The 23145-nt window shown below is 33.0% G+C and overlaps 1 long non-coding RNA gene across 4 annotated transcripts in view, besides 1 other annotated feature; it reads left to right on the forward strand.

The window, feature by feature from the left end:
- Positions 1–23145, forward strand: part of LINC02377 (long intergenic non-protein coding RNA 2377) — a 338568-nt gene that overhangs the window by 231799 nt on the left and 83624 nt on the right. For 3 of the 4 annotated variants that reach the window (NR_183918.1, NR_183919.1, NR_183917.1), the window contains one exon: positions 10320–10446. The exons of the other annotated variant lie outside the window; for it this stretch is intronic. This is a non-coding gene — a long non-coding RNA (long intergenic non-protein coding RNA 2377). The remainder of the gene's footprint in view (positions 1–10319; positions 10447–23145) is intronic. 4 annotated transcript variants of the gene reach the window in all.
- Positions 2470–2519: an enhancer, noted in NCBI's record as "active region_21905". NCBI's record gives its function as "activates an Ori minimal core promoter by ATAC-STARR-seq in GM12878 lymphoblastoid cells {active_cell/tissue: GM12878}" and the evidence as "EXISTENCE:reporter gene assay evidence [ECO:0000049][PMID:35858748]".

Here is a 23145-nt window from a genome sequence, read left to right on the forward strand (position 1 = left end):
GCAAAACGGCATCAAAATCAATTTCACATAATATTAAATCTTAAAATATGGGTCATAAATTCAATGATGTAAAAATAAGTTATCCACAACAGGCATTGTATTTTAACTTTTTTCTCAAAAAATTAAATAAAGGCTGGATATAGTGGCTCTCATCTTTAATTTAATCTCAGCAATTTGAGAGACAGAGGCGGGAGAATCACTTGAGCCCAGAAGTTTGGGAACAGCCTGGGCACAAAGTGAGACCCAATCTCTAAAGAAAATATAAAAATTAGCTGGGCAAGGTAATGTGTGCCTTTAGTTCCAGTTACTCTGGAGGCTGAGGTGGAAGAATCACTTGAACCCAGAAGTTCCAGGTGACAGTGAGCCGAGACTGTGCCACTGCACTCCAGCCTCGGTGACAGTGTGAGTCCCTGTCTCAAAAAAAAAAAAAAAAAGAAAAGAAAAGAAAAGAAAAACTAACTAAAATTGTTTTGTTTCCAAGTTAAAACCAATGAAACACATAATTTAATTGATGATGCTAAATATATTGTGCTTTTAGGACAGCATAATTGATATCTACTATAATTATAGTAAGTAAAATCAAAGTGCAGAATTTGGCATCATTTTGAGCTGATACCAGCTATCTTGTCAATATTGCCATTTTGATATATCCTGATGGTACATTTATCTTATTACTTATTTTTATTAGCAATATTAATAATTGACTGGTCAGTTACAATAATAATTTAGTGCTGATAAAGGTCATCATAAGAAACGATGCTATTTAAATAACTAAGGTAATATATTTTTTAAATGTTTTTCACATGCTTAAAGGACATGTAAGTTTAGTGAGTAAAACTTGACAAAAGAAAAATCTCACAAAATGAAATACAATTTCAACATATTTGAAACAAGGTAGTTTACAAGCAAAAAAGTTCTACCTTTGGATAAGGAGGATAAGTTAGGTACAATTCAGCTAGCGGATATGAGGCACCAAATAATAATAGAATTGTCATTGATTGGGGTATGAATGAATTGCAAGATAGTCTCAGCCACCATATAATTTAATCAAATGTGATCCATTATAGTACATATTTTACAGTGCAACTTAAAAACCATTGAGAGGAAATATGGTTTTCAATAATGTAGCAAGTGAAAATATGTTTTGAATTGAGGTATATAAGCAGAACAAAATATCACTTTTATGGATGAACTGATAAGTTCGAAATTAAGATTTTAAGTATGAATTTGTGGGGTGATCATATTAAAGAAATTGAGGGATTCTACATTCTTGACCTTCACTATTTATTGAGGTACTGCTACAAATAATGTAAGGAATGAAAGCACAGTATGGGCTCTAACAAAGCTGAGAGCCTGTGAATAGAAAAACAGATAATCAATAGGAAAGTGACCTATGCAAGTTATAGCTAGTTTTTAAATGAAACTGTAGAGTCAGAATATCCTCCCAAATTGAGTAACTTAATTTTAGTGATTAATTTTAATTTGTAATTAAATTAAGTAATTAATTACTTAATTTTGTATTAGAGATTGCCAAATGAAGAACGGAGTTTTGTTCCAGGCTGTGTGCAGAACACAACTATCTAGGAACTATTTAACTCATAACTTGCAATTCAAGAATTTGCAAAAAAAAAAAAGAAAATCTCGGTGAAGAAACTGTAGTGTATGTCTTTGTAGGTCAAGCTGATGAACACACACACGTAGCATTGATACTTGTTGGACTTAGCTGATTTGAAATGAGGACATGTCTAAATAAACTTTGGTTTCTGAGGTATTTGAGAAATGTATATCTAACAGAGAACTTATCCATGATATGTAACAAATACCTATAACTGTGTGTTGAGAACAGAAAATATATTTTTAAAAGGGCAAATGATTTAAAGAGAAACGTCATAGAAAAGTTATACATCTGACCACAAAACACATGAAAAAAGACTCAACATCAGTGAAATATCAGTTAAAATTAAAATAAGATACCACTAGACCTTACGTGAATAGCAAACACAAAACAAAAACAGACTCAAAACACCAAGTGTTGTAGTTGAGGTGCAGGAACCAGAACACTCATACATTGTTGATGGGAGTATTAAATGTTAGAACCACTTTGAAACTAATTCTGGCAGTTAAAAAACTAGTGTACTTTCTTACCCTTTCAGATACAAACTTTCTTTTTATTGCTGCCTTTCAGCAATTCAATCATGATGCATCTTGGCATGCTTTTATGTTGTTTTTTTCCTGCTGGAATAAATACACCCATCAAGTGCCTTTTATCTGTAGGTATGCCATTTTTATCAAATTTAGAAAATACCCAGGCATTTTTGCCCTCAAATATATATTTTTCTATTCTTACCTTTCTTTCCCTTCCTCTGTGCAGATTAGTTAGTATTTCCCATATGTTGCTGAGGTTGAGTTTACTTTTTCAGTTCTCTTTCTATTTTTATTTTCTATGATTCACCACAAGTGGTTTCAACTACTAGGTTTTCATATTTGCTCATATTTATTCTGCAGGGCCTAATACACTGTTAATCCTCTCTAGGAAATTGCTCTGGCTAGGAATTCAAGTACTGCGTTTAATAGAGGTGGCCAGGTGAGCATCCTTGCCTTGGTGAAAAAGCTTTCAGTTTTTCACCACTGAGTATGATGTTATACATGAACTTCATTATGTTGAGGTAACTTCCTTCTATACCTAAATTGTTGAAAGTCTTTTTTTTTTTATCATATATTGAATTTTGTCAAATGCTTTTTCTAAGTCTGTTAAGTTGATCATGTGGCTATATCCTTCATTTTGTTAATGTCATGTACCACATTAATTGCTTTTCCATGTTGAACGACTCTTTCATCCCAGGAATAAATCCGACTTAATCATAGTGTTTGATCCTTCCAATGCGCTGTTGAATTCAGTTTGCTAGCATTTTGCTGAAGATTTTTGCATCTATTTTCATCAGGGATTGTAGCCTATAGTTTTATTTTCTTGTGGTGTCTATATCTGGCTTTGCTATCTAAGTAATGTAATCTTCCCAACCTATGGTATTTTGTTATGGAAGTCCTAGAAAACGAATTAACTAAAAATACTGATAACTTGGTAATCCCTCCTGTTAATTTATATGATGCTGTCAGTTGATGATTATGAGTGCAGGTTTTGCACAGAAAAAAATAAATTGATCACATATCTATAAATTTCTATTTTTATTTAATAATTAAATTTATTTACTTTTGATGCTATTATAAATGGTCTTTGTAAGTTTTTTTAGGAATTTCTATATAAATATATTGTTTCTAAATAAGGAAAGTCTTACTCCTTTTTTTGAATCTATATGTCCTTTACTTTTTTTCTTACCTTCTTGAATTGGCTAGAAATTCCAATGCAATATTAAGTAAAAGTTGTCAGAGCAAATATCATTGCCTTGATCTTCTTAAATATAATGTATTCATTCTTTCACCATTTAGTACAATGCTAGCTTTATGTTCTTTCTGAATATCTTTTATCAATTTAAGGGATTTACCTTATAGCCCTTATTTGTTGAGAGTTATTAACCATGAACAGGTATGTTAATTTGTGATATTCTTTCATTCAATCTACAGAGATTATTATGTACATGCCTCCTTCCTTTTATTCCACTAACATGGTATATAGTACATTAATTGATTTTTGTATTATATTTTTGTATTCATGAGACAAACCTCTCTTAGACGTGGTTTGTTATGTTATATATTTATTAGTGGACTCACTTTGGCAATTCATTTTCAGGATTTTAATTCCTATGTCGAGGGTCAGTATTACTCTGTAATTGTCTTTCCTTGTTATGACTTTGGCTATGATATCAAAATAATGTTGACCTCATGAAATAAAGTGTTCCTTTCTCAATTTTCTGAAAGTGTTTGTGTGGAATTGGCATTATTATTTTTCTATATATTTAGTAGAATTCATCAGACATTAAGGCTAAAATTTTTCTTTGTGGAATTTTTTTTATTTACCAATTTAATTTCTTTGCTTAATATAGTTTTATTCAAAAATTCTAATTCTTCTTGTTTCAGTTTTGGTAAATTTTTTTTTTTTTTTTTTTTTTTTTTGAGACGGAGTCTTGCTTTGTCGCCCGGCTGGAGTGCAGTGGCGCGATCTTGGCTCACTGTAAACTCCACCTCCCACGTTCACGCCATTCTCCTGCCTTAGCCCCCGAGTAGCTGGGACTACAGGCGTCCACCACCACACCTGTCTAATTTTTTTTTTTTTTTTTTTTTTTTGCATTTTTAGTAGAGACAAGGTTTCGCTGTGTTAGCCGGGATGGTCTCGATTTCCTGACCTCGTGATCCTCCCGCCTCAACCTCCCAAAGTGCTGGGATTACAGGTGTGAGCCATCGCACCAGGCCGGTAAATTGTTTTTTTAAGAATGTATTCATACCTTCTAAGCAGACAAATGTGTTAACAAAAATTGTTCAATATAATTCTTAATTATGTTTAATATCTTATAAGGTTTGTAGCAATATTCCTATCTCCTTCCTGATATTGCTAATTTTTGCTTTCCTTTTTATTCTTTATCAGTCTATCTAAAATTCAGTTTTACTGATCTTAGCAAATATATAATTTTTGTTCAATTAATTTTTCTCTGTTGTTTTTCTATTTAATTGATTTTTGCTTTGATCTGAATTATTTTCTTCATTAGATACATTTTTGTTTTATTTATTTTTCTTTTTCTGGATTTCTAAGGTGAAAGTTGACATCATTAATTATAGACTTTTCCATTATTGACCATGAAGCTATAAATAGCGTTAAATCACTGTTCTATCTGTGTCCTACCTATTTTCATTATATTGTGTTTCTATTTTATTTCAGTTACATATATATTGCTAATTTTTATTCTTTTTTGCTCTTTATCAGACATTCAAAATTCTATTTCACTGATCTTAGCAAGTACTGATCTTAGCAAGTAAACATTATATACAGACACACACACACACACACACATATATATATGTATTTCTTTAAATTTCCCTTTGGATTTCTTATTTGACACATTGAGTATTTAGAAATCTGTTCTTTATCATCCTCATATTTTTCTCCTCTCTATTCTAGATATAGATTTTTTTTCTTCTCCCTATTCTGGACATAGAATTTCTAATTTAAATACATTAAGTAGGATAAAATGATGTAAATTATCTCAATTTTTAAAAATTTATTGAGTTTTGTTTTATGGACCAAAACATGGTTAGTGAGTGGTTGAAAGGAATGTGAATCCTATATTCATTCAGTGGAATTCTCTATTGATATTAATTAGATTACTTTTCTATATAGTGTTGCTCTGGCCTTATTTATCCTTGTTGATATTCTTTCTAATTGTTTCAATTACTGAGAAGTAAGTATTAAAATATCCAAATATATATGATAATTTGTCTAGTCTATAAATTGTTAATTTTTGCATTTTTATTTTGAAATTGTTTTTACTCATGCATAATTATTTCTAATTGTTATACCTACCTACCTAATATATTCATCTTTTCATTACTATAAAATATATTTTTATCTAAAACAGAACTATGTATCTTAGTCTAATTAGTTTATTATTATTACAGCCATTACATTAATTTTTCTTACTGTTTATGTCACATATTTTTCCAAATTCATGCATCCATTATATTTGTGTTTTTAAATTTAAAGTCTATTTTTTATAGAAAGAATATTTTCAGTTCTTGCATTTTTATCTACGCTGACAGTCTCTGCCTTTTATGGAAGTGTTTAGTCCATTCAATTTCAATATAATTATTGATATAGTTGAGTTTAGTCTGCTATTTTGCTATTTGATTATTCATTCACCTTTTTGATTTTTTGTTCCTCCCTTGACACCTTCATTTATTAAAACAAATCATTTTCCTATCCTGTAAGGTCATGTATTAAATTTTATGTATGTATATAGTGGCTCTTTAAAGGAATGCCATATGTATGTCTTTAACTCATAACAATCTATATTAATAGTGACTTAATTTTATAATATGTAATAATTTTGCACATATATATTTCTATCCTCCATTCATGTGTTTATGTTTATCACAGAGTATATCTATATAAGTTATAAACCATGAAATTTAGTGTTACAATTTTACCTTTAATGATCACATATATTTTTATTTTGCATTTAACCAATAATTATCGTTTCTGGTGCACTTGTTTTCTTCCTGTGCATCTGAGTGATGATGTAGTGTTATTTTAATTCAGTGTAAAGAAGTTCTTTTGGCATTTCCTGTAATAAAGTTCAACTACAAACATTTTCTTATTTTTTTAAATATGGAAATATATTATCTTCTTATGTGAAGAATATTTTCACTGGATACAGAATTCTTGATTGAAAGATGACCTCTTCACACCTCTCAGCAATTCAAATACATACATTTTAATACTTCTGACTTTTGTTGTTTTAGACAATAAATTAGCCACTAATTCTATTTTCCACAAACATAAACATTTACCCTTGTTGCTTCAAGGTTTCCTTTTATTTTCAGCTTTCAGAATTTATATAAGGATATATGTAAATGTGGTTTTCTAAATGATTAACCTATTAATGTTTATTGAGCTCCTTCAATCAGTAAGTTAATATTTTTCAACTAATTTGTGAAGTTTTTGTCATCATTTCTTCAAATATATTTGCAGTCCTTTTTATTCTACTTCTAGGACTCTCATGATGCATTTCTTTGAAATGTTTGTTATTTTCCAGCAGATGTCTGAGGCTCTGTTGTTATGATTAGTTTTTTTCTGTGTTATTTGAAATGAAATGATTAAACTCTTTTGAAGTTTATTGATTTTTTTTTTGTGTCCGCCCTTTCAAATCTACTACTGAACCATTTTGGTAAGCTTTTAATTTATGCAAAATTACTTTTTAGATACAAAATTGCCATTTATTTTTTATAGTTTGCATCTTTTTTGTATTGATTTTTTCTTTTTCTTTAGTCACTATTAATCCGTTTTCCTTTAACATATTTACAGTAGTTGCTCTGTAGTCTTTATCTGTGAAAACCAAATATCTAGACCTGCTTGAAGTCAGCTTACTTTACAGTCTTTTCATCTCTAAGCATAAATAAAACTTTGGGTTTTTTTTGGCCTACCAATATTTGTTTGAAAACTAGAGATTTTCAACAATACATTGTAGCAAAATTATTGTTGTTATAAGCAAAAGGAACAGTTTTTATTCCTAGACACTTCTCAAGTTATTGCTTTCGTTGATTATTTTCCATTGTCCTAAAGTAATTGTTTCTGATCATTTTCTAGTTGTATATTTGTTTCTACAAAGGGTAATTACCCAAACTCTTTATGGTATGATTACTGGAAATAAATCACCTTTATTTTGAGGCTGAGAATATTATATTAATAATTTTCTGATTCAAGTTTTGTGTTACATCCTAGAGACCTGCAACTAAGTTGTGATGTGTAGTGATCTCCATGTGTAATGAATAGCAAAATCATATTTCTAGGTCTATTGTTCTTAATCATGAGTGTATATATTAGCTGGAAAATATTTTTTAATGTCTACGATATTTGGGTCTTACACCAGGATATTATTATTTTACTTTTTGGTGTGCTTCCCAGGTGATTACAATGTGCTGTAATAATTGGTAATAAAAACAATTCATGCGTCTAATATTGATGATAATTACTTTTGAAGCTATTTACCAAAGCAATGGTTTTAGACCTGGCACTTTTGATACTTATTTTTTTACAACATAATGCTTCATTAAACAGTATAAATGCTTTTCTTAAATTCTGAATATCAATGTAACTTACGTTTGTCAAAGGAAATGTAGAACACTCTCAAAAATATAAAAATGTAAGTTTCTATAAGTCCATTATCTCCTAATTATTATCACTGCTCTGATTTTTTATTTTGTACATGCATTATTCTCCATATATATATGTAGAGAGAGAGAGAGAGAGAGAATCATAGCCTATCTATATAGATAAATGGGCTATGATTATAGAGTAGTACATATAGTAATTCATAAATCAGAAAATGCAATGGATCTGAGATTTCACCATGCTTACCTAGCACAGTATATCTATAAACAGCAACAACTCTGTATCAGAAAATAGACCTTTTATTATTCAAAACAGAGGCTAGACTAGCATCTTATGTTGCTTCCCCATATCCCAATTCTCCACAGAATTATGTGATGAGGCCAGATTTTCATCTGCACAAGAACCACAAAATTATGAGACTGGAGTTTATCTAGGGTGAATGACATATTTGCTTCTCCTTTCATCTGAGTAAAGAAAGCTTCTACAAGCTTAAAATTTCACTAAATGGTTTTGAGGTAGGAGATCATTGGCCAGACTTGTTTTCCAAGCACCAGTCATGACCCGTGTTGCCTCCCCACTGCTTGGAGCAGGATCTGGTCAATATATGGTCCATTGAAGAAGCCGGGCAAAACCAGTAGATGGCAAGGAAAGAATTCTCTAGTTGCCCTCCCTGGTCATTAACATAAAGACACTCCTACTGCCACCATTACAGTTTGGAAATGTCATGGCAGTACTCCATGTGAATGACCCAAAAGTTACTTTATATGTTTTTGAAAACTCACCAGCACTTTATAGAAAGTTATTATTTGCATGTAATTAAAAATGAGTGTAAATATAGCTGCTCAGCAGCCCATATGCTACTCGTGTGGCCACACAGCCTATGGGTTAACCCTGCTCAACAAGAAGCAGTACCTCTGCATACACTATCACTTCAATAAAGTTGATTTCTTTCACCACCAGTTTTCTCTTAAATTTTTTCCTAGACAAAGTCAAGAACCCTTCCGGGCTATGCCCCATTCTGGGGCTCACCTTCTCTGCATCAGTTTTGAAGGAGAGAGGAAAGAGGAAACGCACTTCTCTATTTTTAGTAGCACTTGTCAATACTTTTTGCTCATAAAGCCTGGACCATGCAGAAATATTAAGAAATCTAGGGAAAATTGTTTCACCAACAGTATTTATTTTTCAAAATTGCTTCAGTGTGGTACAAAACTATTCAAATAAAGACAACTTTTCATTTAAATACTTGCACTTTGAATATATATACCCTTTTATTTAAAAATCTTCATTTTTTGGTGTCTTAGATTTTAAAATTTGTTTTAGTTTCAGGAGAAAAGACTAGATGAAACATCTTTGTAAATAAAACTCAGTAAACTTTGACTGTTTAGGTTCAGTGCTAGAAGTAGAAGTACCTGACCAAAGTTAATTAACTCTTCATAGACTATTGACTTATAGAAAAGTTATAACTAGTTCAGGCTGGGCATGGTGGCTCATGGCTATACTCTCAGCACTCTGGGAGGTTGAGGTGGGTGGATTGCTTGAGCCCAGGAGTTCAAGATCACCCTGGGCAACATGGTGAAACCCCATCTCTACAAAAGAAAGAAAAAAAGAAACCCACAAAAATTAGCTAGATGTAGAAGCGAATGCCTGTAGTCTCAGCTACTCAAGAGTCTGAGGTGAGAAAATCACCTGAGCCTGAGACATTGAGGCTGCAGTAATCTGTGACTGCACCAGTACACTCCAGCCAGGGTAGCAGAGTGAGACTCTGTCTCAGAAAAAAAATATAAGGAAATACTCAGATATGCACATATTGTTTTTATTGCTAGATTAATTCTATGTGCTGACCTCAAAACTTTAGAGACTTTTTTGTAATAGCTCATTATATTAGTTTAACTAATCAAATCACTGTACATGTATAACACCATATATTTAAGACAGAAAAAAACACCACATTAGTTTAACATTTCTCACAGAATATTATGGTAGACAAACATTTAAGTATGCTATGGGTATTGAGATTTTTCTCCATTACCAAACATACAATCAAGTGGGAAAAACAGATAAGTAAAAGAGATGTATCATATCTAAACATTTAATAAGGGAGAGAAGTAAAGAGAGTGAATACGAAGGCCACGGAATAGAGGCATAAATAAGAGGAATTTTTTCCTGGAGGGCATACTGGGAAGCCCATACCTAAAAAAAATTGGTAAAACTTTGAAGGGGTTGGTGATATAAAAGAAGCAGCAAAGATCCTCAGACAAGAGAACATAGCATGCTAAGGAGTATAATTCCGTCTAGCTAGAGCACAAAAATTTTAGCTTGTATATGGAGAATTATGACACCATAAGTATCATATTATGAAGCAAAGGAGTAACATGAATAGCTCAGTTCCTTAGAAAGAGTACAGAGCTAAAATATGCAGAGTCAAATTTGGTTTCCGATGGGAGTAATCTTAGAGACTGCAAGCAGTGATAAAATTACTACATAAATACAGGTGACAGATTATGATCTGCCTAATAGTTATCTTACTGTATTTTATCTCTAGTGACAGGGTCTCACTCTGTCACCGATGCTGGAGTACAGTTGCAAAAGATCATCGCTCACTGTAGCCTTGACCTCCTGGGCACAAGCCATGCTCTACCGGAGCCACTGCCCCTAGTTATGGTTCCTGTGTAAGTAATGACTTATTGCTTTATTTCTTTTCATAGATATATTCATTAAATAATCAGTTCCTAACCTATTCCAATAACTCACTTCTCATTTTCTTTCTCATATCTGCCTATTACACCTAAGACTTTCATTGAAAGTCCAATGCTTACCATTCATTGATAGTCTTATTTGACCATTCAGTGGTATTTTCAAAAGCAACCACAATGTGTTTCTTAAATTTATTCCCTAATTTTCATTACCCTACAGTGGATGTTTCCTGGTTCCTCCCTTAACTGACCTATAAATAGTAGTATCCTTCATGTCTTTATCCTAAGACTTCATTTTATCTACCCTCTAGTCTATGCAGAGGTGGATTAAAAGAGAAATGAATGAAATCTAAACTTCAGGGACCTTCATTTAACTCCTTTAAAAGCACTGGGAGGAGCCATTGCAATATGTGACCATGTCTCTTGGCTTTAGTAAAATGTATTGAAGGTATTTATTATAAAACAATAAGAACCACATACATTTTCCTTTAAAGCTATGCCTTATTCACTTTCCACTTTGCGTCTGAAGAAGATGGAATACCTGTGGGTATTTTAGGGACCCAACTAGGGGAAGATACATTAGACATATATTAAATTTGAGTTTAAGTGGGTTTTTATGTAGTTCTCAGTCACTTCTGTATATAATTCAGTTAGTGTTTGTTGAGCAGACATAGGAGTGGCTTCCAGAAATATTTCTACCACTTTCTATGCTGATTTACTAATTCTGTGACACAAAAAGATAAGGACAAGTGTTATATTCCATTGTGAACTTGATTTTCTCAAATTCAACCCAATCAAAATATTTACAAAGCATTACTAATAAGTTATAAAACAAAAAAGAAACACTTCACAATTATCAATAAATCAAACATCAATCATTTATGTGGGAAAAAACACACATATGCTATTTTTTTCTTTTGAATATAACACCGAAATCATTCTTAATTGAGGTGATCCAAGAATAAGACCAAAAAATGTATGATAATGGGATTATGGAGGTTTGGTGTTAGGCTATATAAATGAATAAATACATTGTTCCTCAGGATTTTGCAAGATAGATATTTGTCATATTTTATTAACTTTTTAAACTTTATTGAGGTATAACTGATATACCCAAATTGCCCATATTTAACGTATACATTTTGGTGAGCTTGGTCATATGCATACACCCATTATTCTCCCATCACTATCAAGGTACAAAATATATCCATCACCTTCAAATATTTTCTTATGTTCTTTTGTGTTTTGTTTGTTTGTTGTACCAGGAATACTTAACATGAGATGGCTCCACAACATACGCTAAAGTACACAATACTATATTTTTAACTATAGATCTAGAGTTAAGATAGATCTGTAGTCTGAAATGTCTCTTCTGATTTGTTGCCTAATTTTTCATAAAACTATTTGGCTTTTGTTGTTGTTTGAGGCTTTTTGAATTCTAGTAATACTTTATAGACACTAAGTTTCAATTTTATGTAATTTTTATGTGTCACAAAATAATCTTTTTTGATACATAATATTTTTACATACTCACGGCACATGTAATATTTTGATACATGTGTAGAAGGAGTAATGATCAAGTCAGGATATTAGGATAAAATCACCTCAAGTATTTATTATTTCTTTGTGTTGGAAACATTTCAAATTCTCTCTCCTAGATATTTTGAAATATACAGCATATTGTTGTTAACTATAGTCATCCCAATGTACTACTGAAAAATAGAAATTATTTCTTCTATCTAATGGTATATTTTTACCCATTTGCCTCTTTTTTCTTTCCTTCTGCCCAATACACACCCTTCCAGGCCTCTGATAACTATCTTTTTACTCTCCAACTACGTGAGATCCAATTGTTAGTTCCTATGTGTTAGTGAGAATATGTGACATTTGTCTCTCTGGGCCAGGCTTATTTCCCTTAACATAATATCTTTCAGTTTCATCTATATCACTGCAAATGACAACATTTTCTTCTTGTTTATAGCTGAATACTATTCCCTTGTGTATATATACCACATTTTTCTTGTCCACTTATCTACTGATGGGCATTTAGACTGATTCCATATATGTGCTATTGTGAATAGTGCTGCAATAAACATGGAACTGTAAGGCCCATGTTTTGTTATACTGATCTACTTTCCTTTGATAAATACTAAGTAGTGGAATTGCTGGATTATGTGATAGTTCTATTTTTAGGTTTTTGAGAAAATTGTATGCTGATTTCATCTCTTGCAATTTTAATGAATTTGTTTATTAGTTTATTAGTCTTATATATAATGAGTATATATAAGATATATATATCTTATATATAAAAACTTATAGGAGTTTTTATATATAAGATCATGTCATCTGCAAAAGAGACAGTTTAACTCCCTCATTTCTAATTTGGATGTCCTTTATCCCTCGCATGCAAGAATGATTCAACATATGCAAATCAATAAATGTGATATATCACATTAATCACATAAGTAGAATGGTCATTTCAGTAGATATAGGAAAAGCATTTAACATGATTTAACAACCTTTTATAATAAAGATGCTCAACAAATTAGGTATAAAAGGAATGTACCACAACATAATAAAGGTCTTTCCCATACTTAAAAATATTATTGCAATTTCTAGTTCCATGTAAATATTTACTCTTATACTTTATTTTGTTTGTTCATTTTGTTTTAAATTCTCAACACAAATCAGGTAAGCTTCAGGCTTGAGAGGTAGAGGCAGTCATAAAAGACTTCTTCTCCATGACCTCCACCACTCTCATGGATTTAGAAACCATCTGCAAAATAATGCCACTCAAAAATGTTCGTGATTGCAAATCTATTTTCCTGAGTGATAGGCCACTATATTCAATCTTCTTTCTGACATTCTGAGTTGAATTGATATTATTTATCAAATATGTAATACGTCCTTTGCTAATATTTCTCATATTTTTAAATGGAAGAGATATTCATTCTCTTCACCAGTTTAAACAATCTTAACAATGACTAATTTCAAACATTGATGTTATTTGAAATAATATCATTTTTACAAAGGCACATTTTTAATTCCTTACTACAAATCCTTGTTAGTTGAATCCTAAGTTCCTATTAATTTTCAACATAGAGGAGAAGAATGTTCATAGAGATTAACCACTATGTTTTCACACATACATAATGCATTCTTACCAACTTTTATTGACATGCTAATATGATAACACCCAGTGCAAGGTGCCAATTTAAATTAATAAGTGGCTATAATATATTTTAATATTTCTCTATAATAATTTTAGTATAAGTGAGATTGACAGAAAAAATACATTTAATTAGAAGAATATGTCTCTATTGTAGGATTGTTTGGAGTTTTATCTGTGAAAAAAATCCTCTCTAGAAAGCAGCTGTCCTAAAAAATGTTCTATTGCAATAAAGTTAGTCATTTTCAGTGTCTCTTTTTCTGCAAGATAACCTCAGGAATTGAGATAATGTGAATAAGTTAAACTTTAATCAGTTGAGGAAACATCATTCTAAAGATGTTTAAATTTTCTCCCTTTCCTAAACTTATATAGTCTTATCTTACACTACTAAATATGTTTTTGTCCAAAGTTTATAAAAAGTCCAAAATTAAGAGATGACGGTTAAAAAAGATACAGCCAGAAGACTCTCTTGATATTTTAAACTTATCTTCTGAAGTAAGGAACATATATTAGTTTTCTACTGTGGCTGTAAGAAAGTAGCAAAATCTGGGTGGTTTCCAACAATGAAAAATTGATAACTATACACTTAAACATGTTTAAAATGGTAAATTTTATGTTAAGCATATTTAACCACAAAAAAATTATTAGCAGCAAATAGAATAAGATGAACTCTATGTACTCCCTTCCCCACACTAAAATAACTTTGTAGCTTTCTCAAAAAAGCTTTTTTAAGGAAAAATATATAGAGATATTTGTTCAAGGGAGATAAAGTTACAGACATGGTGCTAAAATAATTTTTAAATATTAGCAACAAATGAACAAAAAGTCATCTTTGTTTAAAATAGTAAAATGATAGTATGAAAATTCTTTTACTCAGGAACGACTGATGATATGTAATCATATTAAAATAAGAATTCATATATTATTTTAAATTCATCTATTCAACATCTGTTGTCTATAAAATTTTTACATTTTATTCACATGCACAATTTTGTCAAGTTTCTGTCAGATATTTCTCAATAAAATTATAATTGAGATTTTAATTACAACACAATTAATACTTATGATGAAATAAACGTACTTATAGAAATGCAGATCACACGGCTTAAAAAGTTAAAAAAAAAAAAGCCTGTGTTGGCAGTTTTGCTGTATTTCTATTTTTTATTTTGTTTTATTTTATAAGTTCTGGGGTACATGTTCAGGATGCACAAGTTTGTTACATAAACATGTGACATGGTGGTTTGCTGCACCTACAACCCATCACCTAGGTATTAAGCCCAGCATGCATTAACTATTTTTTGTAATGCTCTCCCACCCCTGCCTTCCCCTGACAGGCCCCAGTGTGCGTTGTTCCCTCTCTGTGTCCATGTGTTCTCATTGTTCACCTCCCACTTATAAGTGAGAACATGCAGTGTTTGGTTTTCTGTTCCTGCGTTAGTTTACTGAAGATAATAGCTTCCAGCTTCATCCGTGTCCCTGCAAAGAACATGATCTCATTTCTTGTTATGGCTGCATAGTATTCCATGGTGTATTTGCATCACATTTTCTTTATCCAGTTTATCACTGACGGGCATGTAGGTTAATTCCATGTCTTTGCTATTGTGAATAGTGCTACAATGAACATACATGTTCATGTATCTTTATAATGGAATAATTAATATTCCTTTGAGTATATACACAGTAATGGGATTGCTGGTTCAAATGATATTTCCAGCTCTAAATCTTTGAGGAATTACCACACTGTCTTCCACAATGGTTGAAATAATTTACATTCCCACCAACAGTGTAAGTGTTCCTAATTCTCCGCAATCTCTCCAGCATCTGTTGTTTTTTGACTTTTTAATAATCGCCATTCTGACTAGTGTGAGATGCTATCTCATTGTGGTTTTGATTTGCATTTCTCTAATGATCAATGATGTTGAGCTTTCCTTTATATGTTTGTTGGCTGCATGAAGGTCTTCTTTTGAGAAGTATCTGTTTATGTCCTTTGCCCACTTTTTAATGGGGTTGTTTTTTTCTTGTAAATTTGCTTAAGTTCCTTGTAGATTCTAGATATTAGACCTTTGTCAGCTGGATAGATTGTAAATATTGTTTCCAATTCTGTAGGCTGCCTGTTCTCTCTGATGATAGGTTTTTGTTTTTGTTTTTTTTGTGTGTGCAGAAGCTCTTTAGTTTAATTCGATCCCATTTGTCAATTTTTGCTTTTGTTGTCATTGCTTTTGGCGATTTTGTCATAGAATCTTTGCTCATGTCTATGTCCTAAATGGTATAGCCTGGATTTTCTTCCAAGGTTTTTATAGTTTTGGGTTTTACATTTGCAATCACAAATGATAAGGGGATACTACCACTGACTCCACAGAAATACAAATAACCATCAGAGAATACTATAAACACCTCTATGCAAATAAACTGGAAAATCTAGAAGAAATGGATAAGTTCCTGGACACATACCTCCTCCAAAAACTGAACCAGGAAGCAGTTGAATCTATGAATAGGCCAATAACAAGTTTTGAAATTGAAGCAGTAATAAATAGCTTACTGTGATGGTTAATACTGAGTGTCAACTTTATTGGATTGAAAGATGCAAAGTATTGATCCTGGGTGTGTCAGTGAGGGTGTTGCCAAAGGAGATTAAAATTTGAGTCAGTGGACTGAGAAAGGCAGACCCATCTTTAATCTGGGTAGGCATTATCTAATCAGCTGCCAGGGCAGCAAAGATAAAAGCAGGCAGAAGAATGTGAAAAGACTAGACTGTCTTAGCCTCCCAACCTACATCTTTCTCTTGTGCTGGATGCTTCCTGCCCTTGAACATCTGACTTCAAATTCTTCAGCTTTAGGACTCACACTGGCTTCCATGCTTCTCAGCTTGCAGCTGGCCTATTCTGTGACCTTGTGATTGTGTGAGTTTAAAACTCCTTAATAAACTCCTCTTTATATATATTCTATCTATCCTATTAGTTCTGTTCCTAAAGAGAATCCAGACAAATATACCTACCTACCAAAAAAAGCCCAGGACCAGATGGATTTACAGCTGAATTCTACCAGAAGTACAAAGAGTATCTGGTACCATTTCTTCTGAAACTATTCCAAACATTTGAAAAGGAGGGATTCATCCCTAACTCATTTCATGAGGCCTGCATCATTCTGATACCAAAATCTGGCAAAGATACAACAAAAAAAGAGGAAACTTCAGGCCAATATCCATGATGAACATCAATGCAAAAATCATCAATAAAATACTTGCAAACCAAATCCAACAACACATGAAAAACTTCTCCACCATGGTCAAGTTGGCTTCATCTCCAGGAGGCAAGGCTGGTTCAACATATGCGGATAAATAAACGTTATTCAAATTAATCACATAAACAGAACTAAAGAAAAAAAACACATGATTACGTCTAGATGCAGAAAAGACTTTCTATAAAATTCAACATCCCTTCATGTAACTAACTCTCAATAAACTAGGCATTGAAGGAATATACCTCAAAATAATAAGAGTCTTTTATGATGAACCCACAGCCAATATCATACTGAATGGGCAAAAGCTGAAAGCATTCTCCTTGTATCTCTATTTTCATTTGCTACTACCAGTATATTCCAAAACTGAACCTTCTAAGTGAAGATTACTCATTCAATTAAAAATCAATAAAATTTATAGAACACATTGACAAAGATTTTGGATAATACACCTTGTGGCTTACACCTCTAAAATATGCCATCTATTTTAAACTTAATTAAAATCAAAGAAGAGAAATTTGGGGCTTTCCCTGTAACTTCAGCATGCTGAATTTTCCTTCATGACAATAAAGACAGTACTGTTCATAGAGCATAAATTAATAAAGACTTAAATGTGGAAGTGAATTCTAATTTAAAATATGTTGGAACTGCCAAATTGATATTTTAAGAGAAGACAAAGTGATAGGTTTCTTAAAAGAAAACTTGCTTCACTGTCACATACATTCTAATGTAGCCAGATTTTTAAATGTCATATGCCTTCCTTTTTCAAACAGATCTCTATGCCTTTCTCTCTCACCCCAACTCTTCCTTTTTCTATGTGTATATGTATGTGTATGCTACTTTTAGGAAATTCTATGGAATAAGATAAACATAATTCCTCAAGGAAGAAACAATATAAACATTGTCACAAAAATCTATGTACAGATAGCACCATACACTTTATAAATGCATGCACCAATCCCCAGAATGCTGAGTTAGGGGGAAAGAATCAAATTGCAAATAATTAAGGTATCAAATTATATCTCAACTTGATTATCTTAATACTTATTGAATACTGTTGTGGACAGAGAAAAAGAATTCAAAATACAACTATGACACATAATAATAAAATAGATGTCTGCCTCAAGACACTTAGAGGAATATATAATATGGATAGATTTATTTTCCTTAATATGTTGGTAAATTTATGTAGTCAAGTTCATGCCTTGTGGTTTATCAGTAATTTTGTTTTAATAATTTTCACATCTGAAATTATAAAAGGTAATTAAAATAATTTTTTGGTGAAAATGAACTGAACTAACCAGTTTAGTTACAACCATGCCAAACTTCATCCTACACTTCCTTGAATATTATAAGCCACACAAAAATCTGTCACAGAACTTACATTCTTGATTCTTCTATGTGAACTAGTTCAGTAATTAATGTTTTTTAAAGAAAGATAAAAATACATATACATTCAGTGTAGTGTTCTCATCTATGAAGAGACTAGACCAGTGTTGGTCTAGAAAAGTTAACATAGCAAGCTATTTACTTAATTTAAAATACCTACTTAATGGAGTTCATAATTATCTTTAGCAGTCAGTTTTTTGTATTTCCAGACAAACAACTTTGGTTTGCACACTTGTGCATGATAAAACAGTATAATAAAAAAAAGCAAAGTAAAATTATTTTAAAAATACTTCCAAACTTCAGGTTTATGCCTCACATATTATGTCTGTAGGCCAAGAATATTTATTTAATAATTTCGTTTTATTCTCTGCTTATAAAAAATATTTTTCCCAAGCACTATAATTACTTGAGTAAAAACAAGAAAAAACGATTATTTTTAGCTTAAATGCCATCAGAAGGCTTGTTGTTTATTCTCTTGGCTGTCTTTCTTCTCTCTTTGACTTGCCTTTTTTTTCGCTATTCAAACATTAGTGAGAAGGTTACTTTACGTTGGCCAATGGAAGTAAATTATTTGGAATTTTTATTCAAAACAAAAGGCCACTAAGGATGATTATAATCTGTACCTAGTATTAATAATATGCCCATAGACACATTACTGTGGGCAGGGTTTAGGGTACTTAATTGACTCAGCTTTGATGGTGAAGCAATATCTATGTTTAACAGAGTTTGTTTTAGTTACTGCTCCCAAATCATGAGTATTAGAAAAGTGACAGCATCATAAAATGTCAGTGGGTAATGAAATTATCTACCTCAGTACTGAAAACAATGATTTAACAATAATCTTCTGAATGCTAAAATATTTAAATTTGCTCAATCATATTTTCAGAATGTTTAATATTTATGTTTTTTGATGATATTATAATCAAGTAAACTGGGTTTTGACACATATAAAATTTTAATTATTTCTATTAATCACATGCATATGATATATACATTTGCATTGATATTCTGTTCCATTGGTCTCTATGTCTGTCTTTAAGCCAATACCACACTGTTTTTATCATTGTAACATTGTAATAAGCTTCAAAATCAGTAAATGTGAGTCCTACATGTTTGCCTTATTTTTTAAGATCGTTTTGGGTACTAGTGGTTCCTTGATAATTTTATAAATTTTAAGATAAAGTTTTCTTTTTCCAGAAAAAATATCATTGGAGTTTTGATAAGGATTACATTCAATCTGTAGAACACTTCGAGTAGTATTATCTTAATAATATTAAGTCTTCTACTCCATGATCATGGGATTTATTATAATTTATTTATGTTTTCTTTAATGTCTTTCATCAGTGTTTTGTAGTTTTTATTGTACAATTCTTTCACCTCCCTGATTAAATTAAATCCGAAATATGTTATTCTTTTTCATGTTATTATAAATGAAATCGTTTTCTTAAATTTCTTTTTGAATTTTTACTATTAGCATGTATATAATTGCAAATAATTTTGGTGATGACTTGCCCTGCTACTTTGCTAAGTTTTTTATTAGCTCTAACAATTTTTGTAAAATACCTAGTGTTTTCAATGTATAAAATTATGTCATCTGTGAACAGAGATAATTTTACTACTTTATTTCCAAATGGGATGACTTTCTTCTTCTTGCCAAAGTGCTCTGGCTAGAACTTCTAGTACTATGTTTGATAGAAATGGTGAAATTCGGTATCCTTGCCTTATTTCTTTTTTTTTTTTTTTTTTTTTGAGACAGAGTCTCACTCTGTCGCCCACACTGGAGTCCAGTGGCACGATCTTGGCTCACTGCAAGCTCCACCTCCCAGGTTCATGCCATTCTCCTGCCTCGGCCTCCTGAGTACCTGGGACTACAGGCGCCCACCACTCCTTGCCTTATTTCTGATGTTAGAGAAAAAGTTTTTGGTTTTTCATTACTGATCATAATGTTCACTATGGGGTTTTTATACATGATTATTATTCTATTGAGGTAATTTCCTTCTATTTCTAGTTTTTTGAATGTTTTCATCATGAAAGACTGTTTAATTTTGACACATAATTATGTTCTTCATCAATTGAGATGATCAAGGTTTTACTGTTCCTTCAACCTGTTAATTTGGTGCATTACACTCATTGATTTTTACATGTGGGAATATTCCAGAAGAATTTTCATATGGTCACTGATATGCTTTGAATTTGTGTTCCCACCTGAATCACATCTCAAACTGTAATCTCAGGGTATTGAGGGAGGGACCTGGTTGGAGGTGATTGAATCATGGGGCCAGTTTCCCCCATGCTGTTCTTATGGTAGTGAGTGAGTTCTCACATGATCTGATGATTTCAGAAGGGCCTGTTCTCCCTTTGCTTCATCTCTCTCCTGTCACCATGTAAGACTTGCCTACTTCTCTGATTGTAAGTTTCCTGGGGCCTCCCTAGTCATGAAGAACTGTGAGTTAATTAAACCTCTTTCCTTTATAAACTACCCAGTTTTGGGTGGCTCTTTATAGCAATGTAAAAATAGATAAATACAGTAAATTGGTACCATTTTAGTAGGGTTCTACTATAAAGATAACCTGAAAATGTGGAAGCAACTTTAGAACTGGGTAACAGGCAGAAGTTGGAACACTGTGGAGGGCTCAGAAGAAGATAGGAAGATGTGAGAAAGTTTGGAACTTCCTAGTGACTTGTTGAATTGTTTTGACCAAAATGCTGATAGTGACATAGATAATGAAGTCCAGACTGAGGTGGTTTGAGATGGAGATGAAGAACTTATTGGGAACTGGAGCAAAAGTCATTCTTCCTACACTTTAGTAAAAAGACTGGCAACATTTTACCCCTGCCCTAAAGATCTGTGCAACTTTGAATTTGAGAGAGACAATTTAGGATTTCTGGCAAAAAAAAATTTCTAAGCAGCAAAACATTCAAAATGTGACCTGGGTGCTCTTAAAAGTGTTCAGTTATATGCACTGAGAAAGAGACAGTTTTAAGTAGAAATTTATATTTAAAAGGGAAGCAGAGCATAAAGTTTTGAAAAATTTGCAGCCTAACCATGTGGTTGAAAAGCAGAACCCATTTTTCTGAGAAGGAATTCAAGCAGGCTGCAGAAATTTGCATAAGTAAGAAGAAGCTGAATGTTAATCACCAAGACAATGGAGAAAATAAATCCAGAGCATGTCAGAGACTTTTATGGCAGCCCCTCCCATCACAGGCCTGGAGGCCTAGGAGGAAAAAGTGGTTTTTTGGGCCAGACCCAGGGCCCCACTGTTCTGTGCAGCCTTGGACTTGTTACCCTGCATAACAGCTGCTTGTGTTCCAGGTGAGGTAAAAGGGGCAAAGGTGCAGCTTGGCCATTGCTTCAGAGGGTGGAAGCCCTAAGCTTTGGTAGCTTCCATGTGGTGTTGTGCCTGTGGGTGTGCAGAAAACAAGAGTTGAGCTTTGGGAACCTCAGCCTAGATTTTGGTAAATATATGGAAACATCTGAATGTCTATGCAGAAGTCTGCTGCAGAGGCGGAACCCTCCTGGAGAACCTCTACCAGGACAATGCAGGGGAGAAATGGGGGATTGGATCCCTCATGCAGAGTCCCCACTGGGGCACTGCCTAGTGAAGCTGTGATAGGAGGGCCACCATCCTCCAAACCCCAGAATGGTAGATCCACCAACAGCTTGCACTGTGTGCCTGGAACCCAGCGCTTGCATCAGCATGCTCTGGATTGAGACATGGAGTCAATGGAGATAATTTAGAGGCTTCAAGATTTTTGTTTGTTTGTTTGTTGAGACAGAGTCTCACTCTGTCACTAAGGCTGGAGTGCAGTGGCACTGTGTCGGCTTACTGCAACCTCTGTCTCCTGGGTTCAAGCAATTCTCCTGCCTCAGCCGCCTGAGTAGCTGGGATTACAGGCGTCCACCACCATGCCTGGCTAGTTTTTATATTTTTAGTAGAGAGAGGGTTTCACCATGTTGTCCAGGCTGGTCTTGAACTCCTGACCTCAGGTGATCCACCCACCTCAGCCTCCCAAAGTGCTGGGATTGCAGGCATGAACGACCATGTCCGGCCAGGGCTTTAAGATTTAACAACAGCCTCGCTGGTCTTCGAACATGCATGGGGTCTGTTGCCTCTTTGTTTTTGCCAGTTTCTCTCAGTGGAGTAAAAGCAGTTACCCAATGTCTGTACCCCTTGCCTATCTTGGATGTAACTAACTTGTTTTTGATTTTACAGGCTCATAGGCAGAAGAAAGTTTGTCTCAGATGACACTTTGAACTTGAACTTTTGAGATAATGCTGGAATGAGTGAAGATTTTGGGAGACTGTTCAAAAGGCACGATTGTGTTTTGAAATGTGAGGAAGTGAGATTTGAGTGGGACCAGGGGCAGAATGATATGGTTTGACTTTGTCCCTGCCCAAATCTCATCTTGAATTGTTATCCCCAGGTGTTGGGGGAAGGATCTGGTTGTAGGTGATTGGATCATGGGAGCAGTTTCCCCAGTGCTCTTCTCATGATAGTGAGTGAGTTCTCATGAGATATGATTATTTTATAAGGGGCTGTTTCCCCTTTGCTTCCTCTCTCTCCTGCCACCATGTAAGAAGCACCTGTTTCCCCTTCCACCATGATTGTAAGTTTCCTGAGGCCTCCCAGCCATGGGGAACAGTAAGCCAATTAAATCTCTTTCTTTTATAAATTACTTAGTCTCAGGCAATTCTTTATAGCAGTGTGAAAATGGACTAAGACAGTCGTGATAAGTAATTCTTTTAATAAGCTGCTGAATTCAGCTTTAAATATTTTGTTGAGGATTTTTGCATTCATGGTTATTAGGAATATTTGTCTGTAGTTTTCTTGTAGTGTAGTTATCTGGCTTTGATATCAGGCTAGCGCTGATATAATGGG

This window comes from Homo sapiens, chromosome 4 (genome assembly GCF_000001405.40).
Source record: "Homo sapiens chromosome 4, GRCh38.p14 Primary Assembly".
Taxonomy (NCBI): Eukaryota; Metazoa; Chordata; class Mammalia; order Primates; family Hominidae; genus Homo; species Homo sapiens.